At 46.7% G+C, this 23,686-nt stretch overlaps 2 protein-coding genes across 6 annotated transcripts in view, besides 4 other annotated features; both read left to right on the top strand.

Annotated features, from left to right (window-relative positions):
- Positions 643-7,694, top strand: MIP (major intrinsic protein of lens fiber). Of its 3 annotated transcripts, XM_011538354.2 has the most exons (6): positions 643-683; positions 947-1,027; positions 1,312-1,404; positions 3,441-3,605; positions 4,044-4,124; positions 5,731-7,537. In XM_011538354.2, the coding sequence occupies exons 3-6, from the start codon at positions 1,330-1,332 to the stop codon at positions 5,914-5,916; spliced, it is 507 nt and encodes a 168-aa protein (XP_011536656.1). In that variant the 5' UTR covers positions 643-683; positions 947-1,027; positions 1,312-1,329; the 3' UTR covers positions 5,917-7,537. The 3 variants fall into 3 exon arrangements, with proteins under 3 accessions (XP_011536656.1, NP_036196.1, XP_016874795.1); NM_012064.4 differs by lacking the exons at positions 643-683; positions 947-1,027; positions 1,312-1,404 and adding an exon at positions 2,539-2,942 and having other exon boundaries at positions 5,731-7,694; XM_017019306.2 differs by lacking the exons at positions 643-683; positions 947-1,027; positions 1,312-1,404 and adding an exon at positions 3,149-3,287.
- TIMELESS (timeless circadian regulator) overlaps positions 7,770-23,686 on the top strand; it is a 33,064-nt gene continuing 17,147 nt past the window's right edge. For all 3 annotated transcript variants that reach the window (NR_138471.2, NM_001330295.2, NM_003920.5), the window contains exons 1-4: positions 7,770-7,886; positions 22,965-23,122; positions 23,270-23,423; positions 23,544-23,658. Coding sequence is in view for 2 of the 3 variants with exons in the window: in NM_001330295.2 (NP_001317224.1) it covers positions 23,026-23,122; positions 23,270-23,423; positions 23,544-23,658 (366 nt within the window). In the remaining variant the exon portion in view is untranslated. The remainder of the gene's footprint in view (positions 7,887-22,964; positions 23,123-23,269; positions 23,424-23,543; positions 23,659-23,686) is intronic.
- Positions 8,027-8,116: an enhancer, noted in NCBI's record as "active region_6497". NCBI's record gives its function as "activates an Ori minimal core promoter by ATAC-STARR-seq in GM12878 lymphoblastoid cells {active_cell/tissue: GM12878}" and the evidence as "EXISTENCE:reporter gene assay evidence [ECO:0000049][PMID:35858748]".
- Positions 8,227-8,346: an enhancer, noted in NCBI's record as "active region_6496". NCBI's record gives its function as "activates an Ori minimal core promoter by ATAC-STARR-seq in GM12878 lymphoblastoid cells {active_cell/tissue: GM12878}" and the evidence as "EXISTENCE:reporter gene assay evidence [ECO:0000049][PMID:35858748]".
- Positions 8,369-8,889: an enhancer, noted in NCBI's record as "H3K27ac-H3K4me1 hESC enhancer chr12:56842091-56842611 (GRCh37/hg19 assembly coordinates)". NCBI's record gives its function as "activates a minimal SCP1, AML or CMV promoter by ChIP-STARR-seq in naive H9 embryonic stem cells {active_cell/tissue: H9 hESC(naive)}" and the evidence as "EXISTENCE:reporter gene assay evidence [ECO:0000049][PMID:30033119]".
- Positions 13,330-13,963: an enhancer, noted in NCBI's record as "OCT4-NANOG-H3K27ac hESC enhancer chr12:56837017-56837650 (GRCh37/hg19 assembly coordinates)". NCBI's record gives its function as "activates a minimal SCP1, AML or CMV promoter by ChIP-STARR-seq in primed H9 embryonic stem cells {active_cell/tissue: H9 hESC(primed)}" and the evidence as "EXISTENCE:reporter gene assay evidence [ECO:0000049][PMID:30033119]".

The following is a 23,686-nucleotide window of genomic DNA, read 5'->3' as shown; positions in this document are numbered from 1 at the left end:
GTGGTGGGCACCTATAGTCCCAGCTACTTGGGAGGCTGAGACATAAAAATTGCAGAGGTTGCAGTGAGCTGATTGTGCCACTGCACTCCAGCCTGGGCAACAGAGTGAGACTCTGTCTCAAAGAAAAAAAAAAGAAATTATGTAATTTGTTCATCTTTATAAGTAGGTGTTAAACTGTGTCCCAAAGTCATTATCTCAGGTGGGGAACAGTGCCTCACGCCTGTAATCTCAACACTTTGGGAGGCTGAGGTGACAGGATCACTTGAGCCCAGGAGTTTGAGGCCAGATTAGGCAACACAGTGAGACCCCATCTCTACAAAAAATAAAAAAGTTAGCTGAGCATGGTGGTAAACACCTGTAGTCCCAGCTATTTGGGAGGCTGGGGTAGGAGGATCGCTTGAGCCCAGGAGGTTGAAAATGCAATGAGCTGTGATTGCACCACTCGACTCCAGCATGGGTGACAGGGTGAAACCCTGTCTAAAAAAAAAAAAAAAAAAAAGTAATATCTCAGTTTATACTCCCACCAGCAGTTGTAACTGGTTCTTTTTTTTTTTTTTGAGACGGAGTTTCGCTCTTGTTGCCCAGGCTAGAGTACAATGGCGTGATCTCGGCTCACCACAACCTCTGCCTCCCGGGTTCCAACGATTCTCCTGCCTCAACCTCCCGAGTAGCTGGGATTACAGGTACCCACCACCATGGCCAGCTAATTTTTCGTATTTTTAGTAGAGACGGGGTTTCATTATGTTGGTCAGGCTGGTCTCGAACTCCTGACCTCAGGTGATCCACCCGCGTTGGCCTCCCAAAGTGCTGAGATTACAGGCGTGAGCCACCGCACCCAGCTGGTTCTGTCACTTTTTATCCTCACCTAATTGGACCAGAGTATCTGTGGCCAAAATCTCTGCTCTTAACACCATGATGTGCTACCCTCTCTCTTTATCCTGTCCAGGGGAACTTTTCTGGAGGCAGTGTGAACCCTGCATGCTTCCTGAGGCCAGCAGTGGTGACTGGGATCTGGGAGCATTACTGGGTGAGATGCACTGAGGGTTACAGGGCCTTAAGTCAGGAGACTGATGAGGCTTCTAGAATATAGGAGATTCCAATGACTTCTAGTGGACTGTTTCTCTTCTATGTAATTGAGAGCTCCAAACCCTTTGGGTGCTCTCTGACCTGTTCTCAGCAACTCTTCCTGCCAGTGGATAGGTTAGATGGACCCTCTACCTTCACTATAACTCTCTTTCTGTCCATCCCCAAGCTGGGTATTATGAGGAGAAAGCACAGCCCCTGATCTGTGTTCCTTCTCTCTCCCCACAGGTGTACTGGGTAGGACCCATGCTGGGCACCATTCTTGCAGGCCTCACCTCGAATTTCTGCTCTCTGGTGCTTCATGAGAAAAGTTTGTGGCCGGTATGACTTGCCACTATGTGGAGATGGTAGAACCTATCAGTATGTCCCATTCTACCTTCTCCATCACCACACAACCCCACGCCTAGGTCCCAAGTCCCTCACCAAGCCCGAGCACAACTGAACCTCTTTCCCCAAACTTTCCTTCCCCATATTATCCTTTTCCCTCTCTTTGATCGGCTGTTTCCCCAGATCTGATCCCAGCACACCCATACCTTTCCCTGGGGATCAAGGCTTAGGGTGTGCTGATCATGGCTGTATTAAAGGACATTAGACCTTCCCATTGCTTCATAGCCATGACTGTTTCCTTCCTTTCAGTACTTCTTGCTATGACCATGTGAGTTAGGAAAGATGAAATACAAGCTGATTCTAAGGTTTAACTACGAGTCCCTTTCTTATTCCTATCCCTCCAACCCCACTCCCAGCCCATGCAGGGATGATAGTGTCTTCTCTCTGTCGGTCCCTGTAGTTTAAAAAGCCAGGCCTAGGGTTTGAAAAGGGAGGTGCTGTCATGGACTGGGGGTAGGGAACCCGGGCTCAGAGAAAGCCAGACGCAGCAGAACTATTTTGTCCCAGAGCTGCAGGGTCCACAGATTCCAGCCCAAACTAGCCAATGGGAGAAAGGCTTCTAATCCCTGGGAACTAAAGAATTCTCTTTAGTTATCCAACTTCCCTGCTGAACCCCACTCCTTACCACTCCCCCCAACCCTTACCCCTGGCAGACTCAGAGGAGGCTGAGGCCCCCAGGAGCTCAGCCCCAAATGCCATGAAGTGAGCTCAGCTTGATGGACCTTCCAAAGAGAGCTGAAGAGTATTCTAATGTTGATGTCAATCAGGACAATGAACCCCAATTTTGACACACACAGAAGGGCAGACTCTTCCAGTCCTGCTGTTCTTCACCCCCACTTCTCGTAGTCTCTCTTGCTGTGACCCCAATCCCACCCTCACTGCCATGGCTCTCTCGGCTCATCTCCCAGTTGAGAAAGGCGGGAAAATCCAGCATTTTTACCATGTAGGGGAGGGGACTTAGCCCTCCACAGCTGTGAAGGGGTTAAGAGGCTGGGCCTGCTACCTCAGCCTGCCCCTCCCAGGGATTAAGAGTCCTCTATAAAGGGGACTGTCCACCCAGACAAGGCCATGGGGGTAGCAGGGACCCAGGCACTGTGACCATCCCCCCTGCCATGTGGGAACTGCGATCAGCCTCCTTTTGGAGGGCCATATTCGCTGAGTTCTTTGCCACCCTCTTCTATGTCTTCTTTGGGCTGGGGTCCTCACTGCGCTGGGCTCCTGGACCCCTGCATGTTCTGCAGGTGGCTATGGCATTTGGCTTGGCCCTGGCTACACTGGTGCAGTCTGTGGGCCACATCAGTGGAGCCCACGTCAATCCTGCAGTCACTTTTGCTTTCCTTGTGGGCTCCCAGATGTCCCTGCTCCGTGCCTTCTGCTATATGGCAGCCCAGCTCCTGGGAGCTGTGGCTGGGGCCGCTGTGCTGTATAGCGTTACCCCACCTGCTGTCCGAGGAAACCTAGCACTCAACACGGTAATGGTTGGCTGAGAGGGGATGGGGAACCTGGTGTCCTGTCTCTCTATTGCCCTGACTCCCTGACTGGTGCAGGTGAATCAGCTCCCCTGGGGTCTGGGACAATATGTGCATGTGTGAGCATGTGTGTGTTGAAGTGGTGAGGATTGACAGGTGGTTTAGAGCTTTAAGGAAGGCATAGGGCCCTGGACTGAGAATTAAGAAACCTGAGTTTGAGTTTCAGCTTTCCTTCCAACTCCTTGCAGGTTCTTAAGGAAACTTATTTTACCTTTCAAGGCCTCAGTTTCCTCATACATGTAAGTGGCTGCAATCATTTCCATCATGAAGGAGCACTGTTAGGAGATGGTAAGATGCAAATACAATGATTATGAAGGGGGTTGTATTATCCTTCCTCTCCACGGACCTGATGCCGTAACGAGATCCTTGCCGGGGAAGTCTTGAGGAGGTAACACTGTGGCAGCCCTCCTGAGCTGTCTCTCTTCTTCTTCCTTTGCACAGTTGCACCCTGCGGTGAGCGTGGGCCAGGCAACCACAGTGGAGATCTTCCTGACGCTCCAGTTCGTGCTCTGCATCTTTGCCACATACGACGAGAGGCGGAATGGCCAACTGGGCTCCGTGGCCCTGGCCGTTGGCTTCTCCCTTGCCCTGGGGCACCTCTTTGGGGTAAGCAGGAAGGAGAGCAACTTCTCATTCAAGGATTCCGGGGCCCCTAAACCTTTCCCAACTTTTAAGGGTTCTTCCTGCCTACTTCACTGTCAAACATGAACATTGTCCATTGCACTCTCTACTGGCACAAAGGAATCAACTCTGCCCTATCCCTCTCTTGTGACTGCTATATCTAGTCCTTCTTGACCCCAAGGTAGAAATGAACGTATCATGGCTAGACATGGGCTTTGCCTATGGATCCATAGTCTGTTCCCAGACAGGGCATCAGTTGCCCTCACCCCATTGCAGGAACCCCTGGAGAGTCATGCAGGCTGTCCCTCTCCACTTGCTGCTGGCTGGAGAAAAGATGGCAGCTCTCAGGGGCAATGTGGGTTGTGGGGAGAGAAGCTGGGGTGCAGTAGGGGGGTGTCTCAGTTACAACTGTCTCTTTTGCAGATGTATTATACTGGTGCAGGCATGAATCCTGCCCGCTCCTTTGCTCCTGCCATTCTCACTGGGAACTTCACTAACCACTGGGTGAGTGAAGGGAGAGGGGCAAGATCCTGAAGCCCTTCTGGATGGTTGTGGACTGCAGGTTCCAGGCTGGATTCCTGCTTTCCTTCTGCGTGTGTTGGCTGCTGTACCAGCACTCAGCTAAGGGGGCTGTCAGAGAGTTTGGCATGCCTGTGTGAGCAGGATTCATGATTTTGCTAGAAGGAGAGGCTCTTGCTCATATTTTTCCTTCTCTGGTTAGTCAGGGAGTATGCACTGAGTATTCACTGGTTGCTGAACTAGCGGGTATGAAGAGAGACAACTAAATATGAGCAGAATAAATTCTGCTCTCAGAGATCAAGATGTGTTGTGAGCACAGATGGGCCTCAGCCCCATTCCAGTTCTAATACGTTATCGGCTTTGTGTGTGACCATGGGCAAATAATCACTCTGTGCTTCAGTTTGTTTTACTATAAAATGGGACATTACGAGAAATGTGTGAAAGTTATATGTGAGAAACATTTAGCACAGAATCTGATATAAAGTAAGCACTCAATAAATATTGGTTATGTTGATGTTGTGCAAGCCAAACATATGGAAATAATTTAAAAATTTTTCAAAGCTGTACACCCATTTTCATAACAGCATTATTCACAATAGCCAAGAGGTAAAAGCAACCCAAGTGTTCCTCAGTGGATGAATGGATAAACAAAATGTGGTATATACATAAATGGAATATTACCTGTAAAAAGGAAGGAAATTGTGACACATACCACAACATGGATGAATCTTGAGGACATTATGCTAAGTGAATAAGCCAGTCACAAAAAGACAAATACTGTATGATTACATTTATATGGGGTATTTAGAGTACTCAAATTCACAGACGCAAAGTAGAAGGATAGTTACCAGGGGCTGATGGGGGTGGGGTGGAATAGGCAGTTGTTTAATGGGTATAGAGTTACAGCTTTGCAAGATGAAAAAGTTCTAGACATAGGTTGCACAACAATGTGAATATACTTAACACTACTAAACTGTACACTTAAAAACATATATATATTTTTTTGAGATGGAGTCTCCCTCTGTCACCCAGGCTGGAGTGCAGTGGAGCTTGATCTCAGGATCTCAGCTCACTGCAACCTCCGCCTCCTGGGTTCAAGCAATTCTCCTGCCTCAGCCTCCTGAGTAGCTGGGATTTCAGGCGCCTGCCACCACGCCCAGCTACTTTTTGTATTTTTAGTAGAGATGGGGTTTCTCCCTGTTGGTCAGGCTGTTCTCAAATGGCTGACCTTGTGATCCGCCCGTCTTGTGATCCGCCCGTCTCAGCCTCCCAAAGTGCTGGGATTACAGGCATAAGCCACTGCGCCTGTCCAAAAATATTTAATATGGTAAATTTTATATGTGTTTTACCACAATGTATAAAATTTTTTTGAAAGCAACATACAAACTAGTGCAAATTGATAACAAATAGAATATACACATGCTAAGGTGTGGGATAAAGGAGTAATTTGATGAATCAGAAAATAAATGGTGAGTTTATTGTAGATATCAAGTGTACAATATCTTGTTTTCCACTAAGGTGGCTGGAAAAAGAGCAGCGTTGCTACTCTGTCCCCTCCCCAAGCCTGAGTATTCCTTTTCTCTTTCTACAGGTGTACTGGGTAGGCCCAATCATTGGAGGGGGTCTGGGCAGCCTCCTGTACGACTTTCTTCTCTTCCCCCGGCTCAAGAGTATTTCTGAGAGACTGTCTGTCCTCAAGGGTGCCAAACCCGATGTCTCCAATGGACAACCAGAGGTCACAGGGGAACCTGTTGAACTGAACACCCAGGCCCTGTAGAAGCTCCAGCTGAATAGAGGGAGTAGAAAGCTTCTGAGTTTACGTGGAGGGGTTTAGCCAGCCCCTAGATGAAGAAAGAGACTGTGGGGAGGGTCATGTACTTCTTTATTTTTTAACTTATGTATGTGGTTGTTTTTTTTTTTTTTTTCCTTTTGCTGTGTGAAATCTTTCAAGTTGCATTCATGAGCTGGTTGGTGCAAACTTCCCTTCCTCCCCATCCCACCACCCTTCGCCGTGTGTGCTGATTGTGCATATGAATGTGAGTGTGGCTGTGTCTGAGTTTTGGGGCATGAGAGCTAAGGAAGCAAAAAGAGGTGCCATCCTATACCTCCCTTCCTCGACCCAGTATGGTGAGTACTGGGTAACCGACACCTTAAGTTTCTGGCCTTTACCCTGCTGCCAGTCAAGTGTGTGGCTCTTGATTTCTGAGGGAACAGAGAAGCAGGGAGTTACTCCTCACACGAGGCAGATGGAGAGAAGTGGAGGAGACAAGGCTTCCAAGGGTTAGGAGAAGGGACTCAAGGGAGGTGGGTGGTGAAAACGGAGTATTAGCCCCAGATCAGGATGTAGGTGTACCGAAGAATTGGGGGGAAGTTAATGGGAATATATAGCCTACTTATCTTAGGGATGCTTGCCCCAGGGACTTGGGTGGGGAAGTAGCTCTGAGAAAAGTGAACACTAGGATTTAGCTGTTCTGTAAAGCCACGTAAACCTGTCTACATCCGCTGGCTGGTTGTGTTCATTCTGACATAATGGATCTCTTCAGAGGTCCTGGGCCAAAGAGCTTCCAACCTAAATAGAGCTTGGGCAAGCCTAGAATCTAGAAAAATTAAGCAGCTTAACTGGTCAGCCTGACATCCACTGTTGTGGCTGCCTGGCAGATGGTATTTAAGCCCCACAATTGTTCCCTAAGGCCAACACAGGAAATCTGATTCCTGGAGCAAATAAATGAACGGGTGGTAGTAGGGGGCATGAGGGGAGAGGCTTTGACTCTGTTCTAATTTATTTAGAGCAAATCAAAACACTCCTCAAATGGCATCTTTCTGCTTTTATCACTAGTTCCGTGTTTTTTTTCTTGTTTTGTGTCTGTGTATTTTCATTTCTCTGTCATCCGTCCTTTCATCTTGAAGCAAATCTCTTCTAACTCCCTCATACCCCAGAAATTGATTCCTTCTATTCAAATGCTTAATAATTCAGGAGATTATTATTTGTTTGAGCCCTATCTTCTTTTTTTTTTTGAGAGGGGGTCTTACTATGTTGACCAGGTTGGAGTGCAATGGATATTCACAGGCACGATCATCGCACACTACAGTCTAGAAATCCTGGGCTCAAGCGATCTTCCTGCTTCAGCCTCCCCAGTAGCTGGGATTACAGGGGGCCAGAGCACAGCCCTATTTTCTTTTCCTTTTGGCAAGATCATCTCAGCAGAGGCCAGAAGAGACCCTCAACTGTTCAATGAATATTTACGGTTGCTTTCTTCCTTTTATGAGCCTCTTGCATACTTTGAAAGCTTTAAATTTATACCTATAATACAACGGACATCCCCTATCCCAGAAGACCATTCCTCCCTGTACTTCAGCTCTTTACTTCCTCCCAAATAAAACCTAACTTTTCTAACTAACTATTTAAGACTTGGAATAGTCCGCTTGACTAGAAGAAGGGGAAGAATGTTTGTAAATTCACCTCTAATCGGACTTTGATTCTACTATAATTCAGCAGAAAATTCATAGCGCTGTGATTTTTAGATCGACCTCACATAAAACAGTCCCTGCACTCGCTTCCCTTTTCCTTCCTTCTTCACCAATCTCCGCCCCAGTTCGCTCGGAGTCACGTGGACCAGCCCGGCTCGCCCCGCCTCGCTCTTCGCGCAGGCGGGGACCGGTCCAGCTGAGCCTGGTGGCGGAAAGGCTGCGGCCCCGCGCCAGAGGGCCGGTGGCTCCTCCGGGCTTCTGAGGACCCGCAGGGAGCGGGTGAGTGAGTGTGTGGCGAGAGGGCGCTAAGCGGACACGGGGATCCTTTCGAAGCTATGGGGGCATTCTCGGGAAACGCTGAGTCCCTTTTCCCGCCACCCGGTTTAGAGCCAGGGGGCGGGGCTCGTGCTGCAGGCGCGCACGCGCAATTCTGTACTCTGCTCCTTAGTCTCCCGCGCCGCGTTCCCGGGTCTCACCGGACGCGGGCTTAGCCCTACGCTGCTCCGCACAGCTTGGGTCTCCCGCGGGATGGGGTTGTGATGGAAAGGGGCTTGGAATTCCTGAATTAGAACAGAAAGTGCCTGAGGGAGTTCCACTTCGGAGCTTAGCATCTAGTTGAGACCTCCTGAAAAAAACCGGTGTGTGGCCTGGCGGTCAGCAGTGGTCGGAATTCACAGGCCGCTTTACTTATATCGTGGGTTTTATGGAACGGATTTCTCACTCCCTCCCTTCGTTGCCTTGTTCGGGTTTGTCACCTGGACCTCAGCCGCTAATGAAGCTTTTTTCCTTGAGCCTCTCAATTCTTTGCCATTCGTGCTTCGACTAGTACTTTCAATTTTTTATTTATTTTATTTTATTTTGAGACGGAGTCTCGTTCTGTCGCCCAGGATGGAGTGCAGTGGCGCCATCTCGGCTCACTGCAACCTCCGCCTCCCGGGTTCAAGCGATTCTCTTGCCTCAGCTTCCTGAGTAGCTGGGATTACAGGCGCGCGCCACCATGCCCGGCTAATTTTTGTATTTTTTTTAGTAGAGATGGGGGTTTCACCTTATTGGTCAGGATGATCTCAAACTCCTGACTTCGTGATCCGCCCGCCTCGGCCTCCCAAAGTGCTGGGATTATAGGCGTGAGCCACCGCGCCTGGCCTGTTTGTTTTTTTTGGTTGTTTTGTTTTGTTTTGTTTTTGAGATGGAGTCTGGCTCTGTCGCCCAGGCTGGAGTGCAGTGGTCCGATCTCGGCTCACTGCAACCTCCGCCTCCCCAGTTCAAGCGATTCTCCTGCCTCAGCCTCCCCAGGAGCTGGGATTACAGCTGCCCGCCACCACGCCCGGCTAATTTTTGTATTTTTAGTAGAGATGGGGTTTCACCATGTTGGCCAGGCCGGTCTCGAACTCCTGACCTCAAATGATCCGCCCGCGTCGGCCTCCCACAGTGCTGGGATTACGGGTGTGAGCCACCACACCCGGCCCTACTAGTACTTTGTACAAAGTAAAGGTAGATCATCTGATGTTAAATTTAAAACTCCTCTTTGACCACCCACAGTTAGCCTTAAATCCGTAGGTGGGTGTCTGTGGCCTCTCAGTCTGGCCCTGACCCTCTCAATCTCATTTTGTAAATCTCTTACGCACCTGACTCCTGGCCACGTGGAAAGATTGTGGCTGCCCTCTTTCATATCTCAGTACTTAGTTCCTGCTGTTCCTTCTGCTTGGAAGATCTTGACACTGCTCTGCCAAGCGAACTTCTCTTTGAAGACTGAGCTTAATTGTCCCTCTGAAAATCAATGTATCCAGCTTCCTATGCCAAGTTAGTCACTTCTTCCTGTGTGTCCCTGAAGTTTTTTACCCCCCTCTATTACCAGGGGCACTGATACAGCTCAATAAAAGATCAATAAAAGGTTACTGAGCTCCTAACATGTACCATGCACTGTGCTTAGCGCCAGGCTTACAGAGATGAGTAGGATGGAGAGTTCCCGACCCTTAAGGAACTCAAGTCCTAAGGAAAACACATGTAATTGAGTCTTCTGTGGTTACAGTGAAAGGGTCATCAAGAAGTCCTTCCTGGCTTCCTTCCTCCTCTCACTGCACTCACACCATCTTACATCCTGATGCCTCCAAATCTTTAGCTCCAAACTCTTCTCCCTCATCTTCCAGACTTCTCTGTTTCAGTTCAATTTAGTAAAGCATTTATTGAGCACTTACATTGTGCTGCGTAATGATGATTCCTGATGTGAAAGAGTTTACGTTTTCGTGCAGTTAACATAGGATAGTTAGAATCACCTGAGGAACATTGTCAAAACACTTGCCTAAGCCCCATCGCTGGAAATTCTGATCCTGTAGCAAGGCTCTGAAAGTTCAAGGGTGAATAAGAATTCCTATCTCTACTAAAAAAAAAAAAAAAAAAAAAAAAAAACAAAAATTAGCTGGGTATGGTGGCATTTTCCTGTAATCCCAGCTACTTGGGAGGCTGAGGCAGGAGAATCACTTGAACCCGGGAGGCGGAGGTTGCAGTGAGCCGAGATTGCACCATTGCATTCCAGCCTGAGTGACAGAGTGAGACTCGTCTCCAAAAAAAAAAAAAATAAAAAGAATTCCTGTCCTCAGGGAATCTAAGGCTAATGGAGGGAGATAGACTTTGATTTTAACTATTATATACAACATGAATTGTAAGTACCATGTTGGAAGTCTGAATATGGTACACAGTAGACATTAAGGAAAAGGAGGTCACTTCTGTATGGAGAAGTCAGGAGGAAGTCCCTTTTGGGCAGTCTTTTTTTTTTTTTTTGAGATGGAGTTTTGCTCTTATTGTCCAGGCTGGAGTGCAGTGGCGTGGTCTCCCAGGTTCAAGCGATTCTCCTGGCTCAGCCTCCCAAGTAGCTGGAATTACAGGCACCCACCACCACACCTGGCTAATTTTTTTTATTTTTAGTAGAGACAGGGTTTCACCATGTTGGCCAGGCTGGTCTTGAAGTCCTGACCTCAGGCGATCCATCCGCCTCAGCCACCCAAAGTGCTGGGATTACAGGCATGAGCCACTGCGCCTGGCCTGCACAGAGTCTTCAGAGCTAAGCTGATATTTGGATGGGAGGCCATTCTAGATAGAGTAGTGGCTTGAGAGAGAAGCGTGAGAGGTAAACAGGAGAGAGATTCATGAAAGACTTTGTATTGTAGGCACTGGAGGTCACTGAAACTTTAGTTTTGTATAGTAATGCATGCTAATAGTAAAGAATTCAAATAGTACCAAAGGGAAAGACAAATATTTCTCCTATCCTAGATCCCCTAGTTCTCAGAGACGATCACTATGAAGTTTCTTATGTATCCATTGAAGTGTTCTAAGCAGGATTGTTATATGCCTAAATCAGGTAACCATATTGAGGCTAGATTGAACAAGACTGGAGGCAGCTGCATTCATGCCTGTAATCCCAGCACTTTGGGAGCCCAGGTGGGTGGGTCGCTTGAGCCCAGGAGTTAAAGACCAGCCCGGGCAACATGACAAAACCTTGTCTCTAGAAAAAATACAAAAATTAGCAGGGTGTGGTGATGTACCCTATAGTCCCAGCTATTTGGGAGGCTGAGGTGGGAAAGTCACTTGAGCCTGGGAGGTTGAGGCTGCCGGGAGCTGTGATTGCACCACTGCACTCCAGTCTGGGTGACAAAGTGAGACCCTCTTTCAAAAAAGAAAAAAAGTCTGGAGGCAGAGAAAGAGGATAGGAAGAGGTTGAGTAACCTAAGCAAGAGCTACTCAGGAACTGAACTAAGGCAGTAGCAATTGGGATAGAAGGATAGACAGCAACTGATAGAAGAACTTAAGGAAGTTAAGTGAGATGGAGCTAAGGTGACTCCTAGGTTTCTTTTTTTTTTTTTTGAGACAGAGTTTCGCTCTTGTTGCCCAGGCTGGAGTGCAGTGGTGCGATCTCAGCTCACTGCAACCTCCGCCTCAAGCGATTCTCCTGCCTCAGCCTCCTGAGTAGCTGGGATTACAGGCATGCACCACTACACCCAGCTAATTTTGTATTTTTAGTAGAGACAGGGTTTCTCCATGTTGGTCAGGCTAGTCTTGAACTCCCGACCTCAGGTGATCCACCCGCCTCGGCCTCCCAAAGTGCTGGGATTACAGGCATGAGCCACCACATCCAGCCTCTTTTTTTTTTTTTTTTTTTTTTTTTTTTTTTTGACGTGGAGTTTCGCTCTTGTTTCCCAGGCTGGAGTGCAATGGTGCGATCTCGGCTCACCGCAACCTCCACCTCCTGGGTTCAAACAATTCTGCCTCAGCCTCCCAAGTAGCTGGGATTACAGGCATGCACCACCACACCCAGCTAATTTTGTATTTTTAGTAGAGATGGGGTTTCTCCATGTTGGTCAGGCTGGTCTCAAACTCCCAACCTCAGGTGATCCACCCACCTCAGCCTCCCAAAGTGCTGGGATTACAGGCATGAGCCACTGCGCCTGGCCCTAGGTTTCTTTTAATAAGGTGAAACTCTTAGCCTTCTTCACTGAGGAGATAGTGTCAGTCCTTGAGAGAGCCAAAGTGGAGACAGACTTGGGAAGATGAGTTCAGCTTTAGACCTATTGAGTGTAAGGTATCTTTGAGACATAAAGGTAGAGAATGCTATTCAGTTAGTCAGTTTAACATACGAGATTGTCAACTCAATAGCTCAGAGGGGCCAGAAATACAGATTTGCTGGCTTCTGGCTTGGGTGGTAGTTGAAGTGCATGGGAGAGGGTGAGTTTGCCCAATCAGGCCGCGTACAGTGAGAAGGGAAGAAGGCTAAAGATGCAGGCCTAAGGAAAATCAGCACTTAAGTAGGAGGAGGAACAGCCAATAAGAGATCAAAGGGGAAAGTTTTATTTTATGTTGGATTTTTCCCCCCTTAAGATGAGCTAGGACAGGTGTGGGGGCACATGCCTGTAATCCCAGCACTTTGGGAGGCTGCGGTCGGAGGATAGCTTGAGCCTGGGGGCTTGAGGCTGCAGTGAGCCGAGATCGCACCACTGCACATCACTACACTTTTGAGATACTGCCTCAAAAGAAAAAAACAGATGGAATAGCCTTGAGCAACTCATAATATATGGGGATGGGGCTAGTATAAAGGGAAGGTTGGAAATAAGGAATAACCAACTAAGGGACAGGAAGTGATTAATGAGGATCACAGAGTACTTAGATTAGAAGCAAAGAACTAAGGGTGGGTGTTTGAAATATGTATGTTTTTAGGCTTGGGTGGAGAGAGTTGAGAGAGTTCATGTCTGATAACCTCAATTGTTCCTAACAGGAAGGAAGCAGATAAACCAGGTGGGAGGCAAGGAAGCAGTAGAGTGAAGGGGCTTGAGGATAATGATGAAAGTTAGGAATAGTGGTTCTTTGGGAAGAGACAATGAAGGGGACCAAGAATACAGAAATGAGGCTGGGCACGGTGGCTCATGCCTGTAATCCCAGCATTTTGGGAGGCCGAGGCAGGTGGATCACGAGGTCAGGTGTTCCAGACCAGCCTGGCCAACATGGTGAAACCATGTCTCTACTAAAAATACAAAAATTAGCCAAGCGTGGTGGCGGGCACCTGTAATCCCAGCTACTTGGGAAGCTGAGGCAAGATAATCGCTTGAACCCAGGAGGCGGAGATGCAGTGAGCCGAAATCACGCCACTGCACTCCAGCCTGTATGACAGAGCAAGACTCTGTCTCAAAAAAAAAAAAAAAAAAGAATACCGAAATGATTTGCTGGACCAGGCTGAAGGCCCTGCTCAGGTTGCAGGCTATACATGTTATCGGGGGAACCAGCCCCCAATATTTCAATGTAGGTTCTTTTCTATTTTCCCTAAGTGTCAGCTGGTCTCATAAATAAAGAGAAAGACTACAAAGAGAAGAATTTTACAGCTGGGCCTCTGTGGGTGCCATCACGTATTGGTAGGACCATGATGGCGACTTGAGCCGCAAAACCAGCAAGTTTTTATTAGGGATTTTAGAAGGGGAGGGGGGTACGAATAGGGAGTGGATCACAGAGATCACATGCTTCAAAGGGCAATAAAAGATCACAAGGCAAAAGGGCAGAGCAGGATCACAAGGCAAGGGCAAAATTAGAATTACTGATGAGGGTCCATGTCCCACTGGGCACACATTGTCTTGATAAACATCTTAACAGGAAACAGGGTTTGAGAGCAGAAAACCAGTCTGACTAGAATTCACCAGGCTGGAATTTCCCAATCCTAGTAAGCCTGAGGGCACTGCAGGAGACCAGGGCATATTTCATCCCTTATCTCAACCGCATAAGACAGATAATCCCAGAGCAGTCGTCTATAGGCCTACCCCTGGGAATGCATTCCTTCCCCAGGGTTATCAATTATTAATATTCCTTGCTGGGAAAAGAATTCAGTGATATTTCTCCTACTCACATGTCGTTTATAGGCTCCCTGCAAGAAGAAAACTATGGCTCTATTCTGCCTGACCCCCCAGGCAGTCAGACCTTATGGTATCTTTCCTTGTTCCCTGAAAATCGCTGTTGTTCTGTTCTTTCTCAGGGTGCCCTGATTTCATATTGTTCAAACACACGTTTTACAAACAATTTGTACAGTTAATGCAGTGATCACAGGGTCCTGAGATGACATACATTGTCAGTTTATGAAGATGACGGGATTAAGAGATTAAAGACAGGCATAGGAAATTATAAGAGTATTGATTGGGGAAGTGATAAATGTCCATGAAATCTTCATAATTTATGTTCACAGATTGCAGTAAAGACAGGCGTAATAAATTATGAAAGTATTAATTTGGGGAACTAATAAATGTCCATGAAATCTTCACAATTTATGTTCTTCTGCTGTGGCTTCAGCCGGTCTCTCCATTCGGGGTCCCTGACTTCCCGCAACATCATCTATCTTATATCACTATAGAGGGTCGTTTGGTTTTCTCCAGCACATCTGGGCCTAGATTTGAATTGAAGTCTAGGAAGCAGATGGTTGCATTGATCTGAGGTTATGTATGGTCTTTTGCAGGGTGAGTGCACTGAAAGGAAAAGAGATAGAGGCCACACGGGAAAATGGCCAAACTGATGTATATAGTGATACAGTAGTAGGATATGTGTGACCCTGGTTTGATCATTTTGTTTTCTAGCTCAGAAATCTTCAGTGGCTCCCTGGCTTAGGTTCTAAATCTTTGAACTGATGGACAAAGATGAGGTTTTTCCCATAAAGCTGGTTCCAGCTGCTTTTCCATTGCTTTCCTGTTGGACTCATCTATTCATAATGGCTCCCTCTTTGGTTTTGCACTGGCAGTTCTCTGCTTAAATGCCCATCCTATTCCCAGCTGCCTTAATCCTATGCAGCTTTCAAAGGCCCAGTTCTAATCATGCTTCCTCAGACAAAACCTCCTTGACCACTTTAACCTGAAAAGAGTACTAGTTTTTTAGTTTTTTTCAGTATCACGTATTTAGAGCTTGTACTGCCTTATCTTTTACATTGTTTGTTCTATATTTGTGGATTTTATTTCTGCAACTACATTTCTTTTTTTTTTTTTTTTTTTGAGACGGAGTCTCACTCTGTCGCCCAGGCTGGAGTGCAGTGGCACGATCTCAACTCACTGTAACCTCCACCTCCCTGGTTCAAGTGATTCTCCTGCCTCAGCCTCCCGAGGAGCTGGGATTACAGGCACCCGCCACCACACCTGACTAATTTTTTGTTAGTTTTAGTAGAGACGGGGTTTCATCATGTTGGCCAGACTAGTCATGAACTCCTGACTTTGTGATCCACCCGCCTTGGCTTCCCAAAGTGCTGGGATTACAGGCGTGAGCCACCGCGCCTGGCCTCTGCATCTACATTTCTTAAATTTCTTTAGCGCTACCATTGCACCTGCACGCTATCTTTTGCCAGGAAGGTTCTCCCTAAGCATTTAGTAACTGACTATAGAGTCTGACAGATGGAGAGGAAATTAATATTTGGGGCGGGGGAGGGGTTCTGTTTGTTTTGTTTATTTGTCTTTTGAGACAGGGTCTCACTCTGTTACCCAGGCTGGAGTGCAGTGGCACAATTTCAGCTCGTTGCAACTTCAACCTCCTGGGCTCAAGTGATCCTCCTGCCTTAGCCTCCTGGGTAGCTGGGACTAAAGGTGTACATCAGCATGCCCGGCTGATTTTTGTGTTTTATTTTTTGTGGAGACTGGGCTTCGCTATGTTGCCCAGGCTGGTCTCAAACTCCTGGACTCAAGTGATCCTCCCACCTCAACCTCCCAAAGTATTAGTATTACAGGCGTGAGCCACCATGTCCAGCCAGGGATTCTTACTTTGTGCTCAGCACTGGGTAGAGTGCTTAATATCACTGCTTCTCAAACTGTCTTGGTAAAGGACCAGGTAGATTTTTCCCTCAAGCTGTTGCAGATCAGTAGTGTTCTAAAAGCACTTCTGTAAAATAAAATTACTAGAAAAATAACATTTAAAAAGACATAGAGAATACAGGCTTTTTATTATTATCATCATTAGATTCAACAAACATTGGCTGGGTGCAGTGGCTCATGCCCGTAATCCCAGCACTTTGGGAGGCCGAGGTGGGTGGATCACTTGAGGCCAGGAGTTCAGCAGCCTAGGCAACATGGCGAAACCCCATCTCAACTACAAAACACAAAAAAATTAGCCTGGCATGGTGGCACAGGCCTGTAATCCCAGCTACTTGGGAGGCTGAGGCACGATAATAGTTTGAACCCGGGAGGCAGAGGTTACAGTGAGCCAAGATCACGCCACTGCATTCCAGCCTGGGTGACAGAGGGAGACCCTGTCTCAAAACAAAACTGTAAACTGCCTGTCAAATTGCCCTAAGATGTTCTAAGTGCTAATGCTTTCTTTCTGTACTTACCTTGATGCAGACTGCTAATAGTTTGTGGATTGGCAGTGGTCTGAAGACCAAGGTTTGAGTAGCATTGCTTTACATGATCTCATTTACACTTCCCTAATATCTTGTGAGGGTGGGTATTATTATTATTTCCTCAGTATACTGATAAGGAAAGAGATTTAGTTAAGCCACCTGCTCAAGTTCACCAGTTTAGTACCAGACAGAATTGGAATTCAAGTGCTAGATGCCATTTTGTTCATACTACTGGGTCTCAAAGAGGATCCTTGGAGCAGAGTTGGTTTGGGGCAGGTAGAGTGTTTTGTTTCGTCTTCAAAAAGTAAGTTTATTTGGTCGGGCGCAGTGGCTCATGCCTGGTATCCCAGCACTTTGGGAGGCCCAGGTGGGCAGATCATGAGGTCAGGAGTTTGAGACCAGCCTGGCCAATATGGTGAAACCCCATCTCTACTAAAAATACAAAAATTAGCTGGGCATGGTGGCGCGTGCCTGTAGTCCCAGCTACTTGGGAAGCTGAGGCAGAAGAGTTGCTTGAATCCAGGAGGTGGCGGTTGCAGTGAGCTGAGATCGTGCCACTGCACTCCAGCCTGGGCGACAGAGCAAGACTCTGTCTCAAAAAAAAAAAAAAAAAAAAAAAGGTTAATTTGAATTGCAAATACATTTAATATTTTATCTGTTGTTTTCTTTTGGTTCTTGCATTTTAATGCCTCCAAGTATTGATTTCAGATGCATATTGCTTCATCTGAACTGCTTGATACTTAGTTGAGTAGGAAAAGTAACTAACATCCCTTTTAAATGTCCAGTTCCATTGGCTCTGTGGTGTTTGACAAAGTTCTCACCTGGTCTATGATGAAATGTGAAAATAAAGTCAATGTAATGAATTTTTTCATGAAGTCATATTTATTAAATTTGAAGGACAGTATTTTATCCTGAGATTTTTGTCTGTAGTTTTTTTGGTGTTAAAATGGTAGAAACAGAATGCGTATAGTAATTGTGTGGAGTGTTGTTTATAACGGCTGTTTGAGATATAATTCATATACTGTAAAATTCACCCTTTTAAAGTGTACAATTCAGGCTAGGTGTGGTGGTTCACACCTGTAATCTCAGCACTTTGGGAGGCCAAGGCAGGAGGATTGCTTGAGGCCAGTCAGGAGTTTGAGACCAGTGTGGGCAACATAGGGAGGTACCAGCTCTACACAAATTTAAAAATTAGCCAGATGTGGTATTGAATGCCTGTGGTCCCAGCTGCTTGGGAGGCTGAGGTGGGAGGATTGCTTGGGCCAAGGAGTTGAGGCTATAGCGAGTCATGATTGATCTGTACTCCAACCTGGGCTGGTCAACAGAGTGAGACCCTGTCTCAAAAGAAAAAAAAAAAAAAAGAAAACCCCTGTACAATTCTGTGATTTTTAGTATATTCAGAGAGTTGTACAACCATTTCTGCCCACCTCAGCCTCCTAAAGTGCTGGGATTACAGGCGTGAGCCACTGTGCCCATATCAGCCTATTGCATTTGCCTATTCTGGACATTTCATATAAATTCCATCATACAATATATGACCTTTTGTGTTTGGCTTCTTTTTTTTTTTTTTTTTTTTTTTTTTTTTGAGAAGGAGTTTTCACTCTTGGTGCCCAAGCTGGAGTGCAGTGGCACGATTTGGGCTCACTGCTACCTCCACCTCCAGGGCTCAAGCGATTCTCCTGCCTCAGCCTCCCGAGTAGCTGGGATTACAGGCGCCCGCCACCATGCCCAGCTAATTTTTTTGTATTTTTAGTAGAGACAGGGTTTCACCATGTTGGCCAGGCTGGTCTCAACTCCTGACCTCAGGGTGATCTGCCCACCTTGGCCTCCAAAAGTGCTGGGATTACAGGTGTGAGCCACTGCACCCGGCTGTGTTTGGCTTCTTTCACTGAACATGTTTTCAAGTTTCATCTACTTCATGGCATGTATCAGTCAGTATTCCATTCCTTTTTTTTTTTTTTTTTTTTTTTTTTTTGAGACAGAGCTTTGCTCTGTCATCTAGGCTGGAGTGCGGTGGCGCAATATCAGCCCATTGCAGCCTCCACCTCCCAGGCTCAAGTAATTCTCCCACCTCAGCTTCTCTAGTAGCTAGGACCACAAGCACACACCACCACACTCGGATAATTTCATTTTTTAAATTTTTTGTAGAGACGAGGTCTCACTATATTGCCCAAACTGGTCTTAAACTCCTGGGCTCAAGTGATCCTCCCGCCTTGGCCTCCCAAAGTACTGGGATTTCAGGCGTGAGCCACTGAACCTGGCTGTGCCCTTTTTAAATATAGACTTTCAAATTTGAGTTAGCATAATTAGGAGGCAGGAGGATCACTTGAAGTCAGGAGTTCCAGAGCAGCCTGGGCAACATGGTGAAACCCTGTCTCTACCAGAAATACCAAAAAATTAGCTGGGCAAGCCAGGCACGGTGGCTCACGCCTGTAATCCCTGCACTTTGTGAGGCCAAGACGGGCAGATCACCAGAGGTCGGGAGTTTGTGACCAGCCTGACCAACATGGAGAAACCTCGTTTCTACTAAAAATACAAAATTAGCTGGGTGTTGTGGTGCATGCCTGTAATCCCAGCTACTTGGGACGCTGAGGCAGGAGAATCGCTTGAACCCGGGAGGGAGGCAGAGGTTGCAGTGAGCCAAGATCGTGCCACTGCACCCCAGGCTGGGTGACAGAGCGAAACTCCATCTCAGAAAAAAAAAAAAATGTTTATCAAGCCCAGTATTAACACTCTCGGAGCGAGAGAGCAGACTGACCTCTGCAAAATGAGATCAGCATTAGTTTGGTGTAGTTTGGGTCTTTTTATGTGTTTTTTTGGCTGCCTAATCTCTAGTCAGTGTCTGCCTTTTTGATTGATGGGTGTGTTGCTTAGTGCTTGCCTGCTGCCTCCATCCCATAATTTTAAGTACATGCATGATATGCAGTCCATGTGCATGAGCGTTGATGAGTTGATTATCATACGGGGTCATCATAAGGACACTTTTTCTCTTTGATGCATATGACTTGCCCTGAAGAGCTGCCCCTTGCTGGTTTGGTCTTGATCCTGCGGGCCATGGGGTCCTTGCTTGCTTCTCTTAGCTTACTTTTTGTTTTGGCCTGCTTAACTTCTGCCTTTTATCTTGCTTCTTGCTCACCTACCCCTTCACCTTGCTTCTGCTCTCATGTTCTTACTCATTCTGCCCTTTATCCAACTTTAAATTCCCTTTACTATTATCCTGCCTCATTTTCTGTATTCTGCTTCCTCAGTTACAGTGAGCCGTGATTGTACCACTGCACTCCTGGGTGCCAGCCTGGGTGCCTGAGTGAGACCCTGTCTCAAAAAAAAAAAAGCTATAAAATCATTTTGCAAACTTGAGTGTACTAGGAAAAGGTATTACTATTTTTGGTTTTGTACAAATGATTTCCTTTCTTTTATGAATTATTTTCTTCAGTTATATTTTCTGAAATCAGTTTACTGTTTCAAAGGGTATGACCCAGGATAATCTGTTGATTCAAAATTCGGCAAATATTTATTGCATGCTTGGCTGGGCGCAGTGGCTCAAGCATGTAATCCCAGCACTTTGGGAGGCCGAGGTGTGTGGATCACCTGAGGTCAGGAGTTCAAGACACATCTGGCCAATATGGTAAAACCCCGTCTCTACTAAAAATACAAAGTTAGCCTGGTATGGTGGCGTGCGCCTGTAATTCAAGCTACTTGGGAGGCTGAGGCAAAGAATCACTTAAACCTGGGAGGCACAGGTTGCAGTGAGCCGAGATCACGCCACTACACTCCAGCCTGGGCAACAGAGCGTGAGACTCTGTCTCAAAAAAAAAAAAAAAATTGCATGCTCGCTATATGCCAAGCTCTATTCTAGGCACTGGAGAATGCAGCAATGAGCAAAACAAAATGAAGCCCTACAGCATGGAGCTTTCCTTTTGTTGGACTGGTTTATGATTTTTACTATATAAATCAATGATTTCTAAATGCTAGAAGAACACTAATATATGATGACATTTCCATCCGTCTGAAGTGAAATGAGAAAAATAAGGATAATGTATTCTTACTGAATTCTGACCACTGTTCGGTGTTCTAAATTCCTTTCTGAGGAGCCTGGAGAGAGCCATGTCTGCAGCCCATCCATCTTGCTAAACAGGTCACTTGGACCCAGTATGTTATGGCTTGCTCTCATAACTTGACTCTGGCATAGCATCAATCACACGATGGTTAGCAGACTTCCTTAACTAACTTACGCTAATATTAAACATTCCTTTCTACTGACTCCAACTTTTTATTTTTATTTATTTCTATTTATTTTTTGAGATGGAGTCTTGCTCTGTGGCCCAGGCTGGAGTGTGGTGGCGTGATCTCGGCCTACTGCAACCTCTGCCTCCCGGGTTAAAGCGATTCTCCTGCCTCAGCCTCCCAAGTAGCTGGGACTACAGGTACACACCACCACACCCAGCTAATTTTTGTATTTTTAGTAGAGACAGTGTTTCACCATGTTGGTCAGGCTGGTCTTGAACTCCTGACCTAAGGTGATCCACACACCTCGGCCTCCCAAAGTGCTGAGATAACAGGCATGAGTTACTACGCCCAGCCAAGACTTCTTAAATTAGTGTTTTCTTGGACTGCAGTTACTCATTGGCTAAGAATAAGTCTCTTTAAATATTTGTCAGAGTTTGGTTTTTCCATAGACAGTATGGAGTTTTTCATAGTGATTATGGATTTTAAAGGACATAGCTGAGATTATATCATATACTGTATACTTTTTCGGAGTGTTAAACAAGCTGTTTCTTTTTTTTTTTTTTTTTTAAGACGGAGTCTCGCTCTGTCGCCCAGGCTGGAGTGCAGTGGTACAATCTCTGCTCACTGCAAGCTCCACCTCTCGGGTTCACTCCATTCTCCTGCCTCAGCCTCCTGAGTAGCTGGGATTACAGGCGCCCGCCATCGCGCCTGGCTAATTTTTTGTATTTTTGGTAGAGAGGGGGTTTCACCGTGTTAGCCAGGATGGTGTCAATCTCCTGACCTCATGATCCGCCCGCCTCAGCCTCCCAAAGTGCTGGGATTACAGGCATGAGCCACCGTGCCCGGCCAACGCCCAGCTAATGTTTGTATTTTTAGTAGAAGATGGGGTTTCACCATGTTGGCAAAGTTGGTCTCGAACTCCTGACCTTAGGTGATCTGCCTGCCTTGGCCTTCCAAAGTGCTGGGATGCCACCGCACCTGGCCTACAAAAATTTTTTAAAAGGCCAGGCATGATGGCACATGCCCAGAGTCATAGCTACTCAGGAGGCTGAGGCAGGAGGACTGCTTGAGCCCAGGAATTTGAGGTTACAATGAGCTGTGATCATGCCACTGTACTCCAGCCTGGGCAACAGAGTGAAACCCTGTTTCTCTTTTTTTTTTTTTTTTAAAAGAAGATGATTCTTTGGGAGATAGTGATAGGGAATGTACCAGTTTCTATTCACTCCATTTCCTCACCTGTTCTGTTAGATGCTGATTTCTACTGAAATTACCAAGGTTTAAGAGTAACTTTGGAGAGGAGAGTGAAGGACCTTTCTCTACACATTCGCAGTGTCTCAGAAGCCTCAGGGCTCCTGAGATGTATTAGATCCTTGGTGGAATCACTGTATGGCCAGAGCTCGGTTTTTTTAATTCCTGTGGTACATCAGAGCTGTGTCTGCCTGGAAGAGCCACAGAAAGTGGAGGGTGACAGGGTTGAGCAATTTATTTTTTCCAGAGACTCTGTAGACCAGGCTGGAGTGTAGTGGTGCAATCACAGCTCACTGCAACCTCAAACACCTAGGCGCAAGTAGTCCTCTCATCTCAGCCGGCCTCCCGAGTAGGTAGGAGTGCAGGTGTGTGCCACAACGGTTGGCTTTTTGTACAGATGGGGTCTCACAATGTTGCCCAGGCTAATCTTGAACACTGGGGCAAATGATCATCATGTCTTGGCCTCCTAAAATGCTGAGATTATAGGCATGAGCCACTGTGCCCAGCCAGGGTCTAACAATTTTATTTATTTATTTATTTTGAGACAGAGTCTCGCTCTGTTGCCCAGGCCAGAGTGTGGCGGCATGATCTTGGCTCACCACAACCTCTGCCTCCTGGGTTCAAGCCACTCTCCTGCCTCAGCCTTCCGAGTAGCTGGGATTATAGGCATGCGCCACCACGCCCGGCTAATTTTGTATTTTTAGTAGGGACAGGGTTTCTCCATGTTGGTCAGGCTGGTCTCGAACTCCCAACCTCAGGTGATCTGCCTGCCTTGGCCTCCCAAAGTGCTGGGATTACAGACGTGAGCCACCGCGCCTGGCCAGGGTAGGTGCTTAATTCATAGGCTGGAGCCTCTTTGGTTTTGATCAGGTAGAAGCCATTATTTAAAACTTTCTCTGGGGCTGAGAGCAGAACTTTTGGTTGTGACAAAAGTCAAACATTTGAGGATCTTGTTCAGAATATTCTGAGCATTAGGGCCTCGTCCTGTTCCTATCTTCTTTTCATGGAGAGGAACTTACATTTTTTATCTTTCTCTATTTCTCCAGGCCTCATCATTTCTGTCTCCTGTTTCTCCACTTCCTTCTCTGTTGGTTGGTCCACTGATGTATGGACTTGCACATGATGAACTGTGAACTTCTAGCCACATGTAGTGCCCTTGGGTACTTGGAGGGAGACACTTACCATAAGGAACCAGATTGCTTAGGTGAGTACCTTTTTGATGAAACAGGAAAAAAATTGGCTTGAATTAAGGAGGTCTGTTGAATTCCTCAAACCATGGGTGTGAAAAGATGTGGGTCTGGATGGAGCTTCTTCCAAGGTTCCACATGCATGTTTTGTTCTGTCTCTGAAGAGAGCGTGAAGGATCTGATCCGCTATTTGAGGCATGAGGATGAGACACGAGATGTGCGGCAGCAGCTGGGGGCAGCCCAGATCCTACAGAGCGACCTTCTGCCCATCCTCACCCAGCACCACCAGGACAAGCCTCTCTTTGATGCTGTTATCAGGTTGCCTCCCTAGCTTTTAAACTTTTGCCACCTGCCAGGCTTTGGTGTTTGAGCTGATAGGTTTGGCGTTTGAGCTGGTAAAGAAACTTAACAACTTCTCCCTCCTTCATTGTCTCCCAGACTGATGGTGAACTTGACACAACCAGCCTTGCTCTGTTTTGGCAATCTGCCTAAGGAGCCCAGCTTTCGGCACCATTTTTTGCAGGTGCTAACTTATTTGCAGGCCTACAAAGAGGTGAGGATTTCCTTTGGAGTCCCTGGGG

Source organism: Homo sapiens, chromosome 12, assembly GCF_000001405.40.
Source record: "Homo sapiens chromosome 12, GRCh38.p14 Primary Assembly".
NCBI classification, from domain to species: Eukaryota; Metazoa; Chordata; class Mammalia; order Primates; family Hominidae; genus Homo; species Homo sapiens.
Note: the sequence above shows the minus strand (reverse complement) of the source record. Positions and strands in the feature narration are given on the sequence as shown.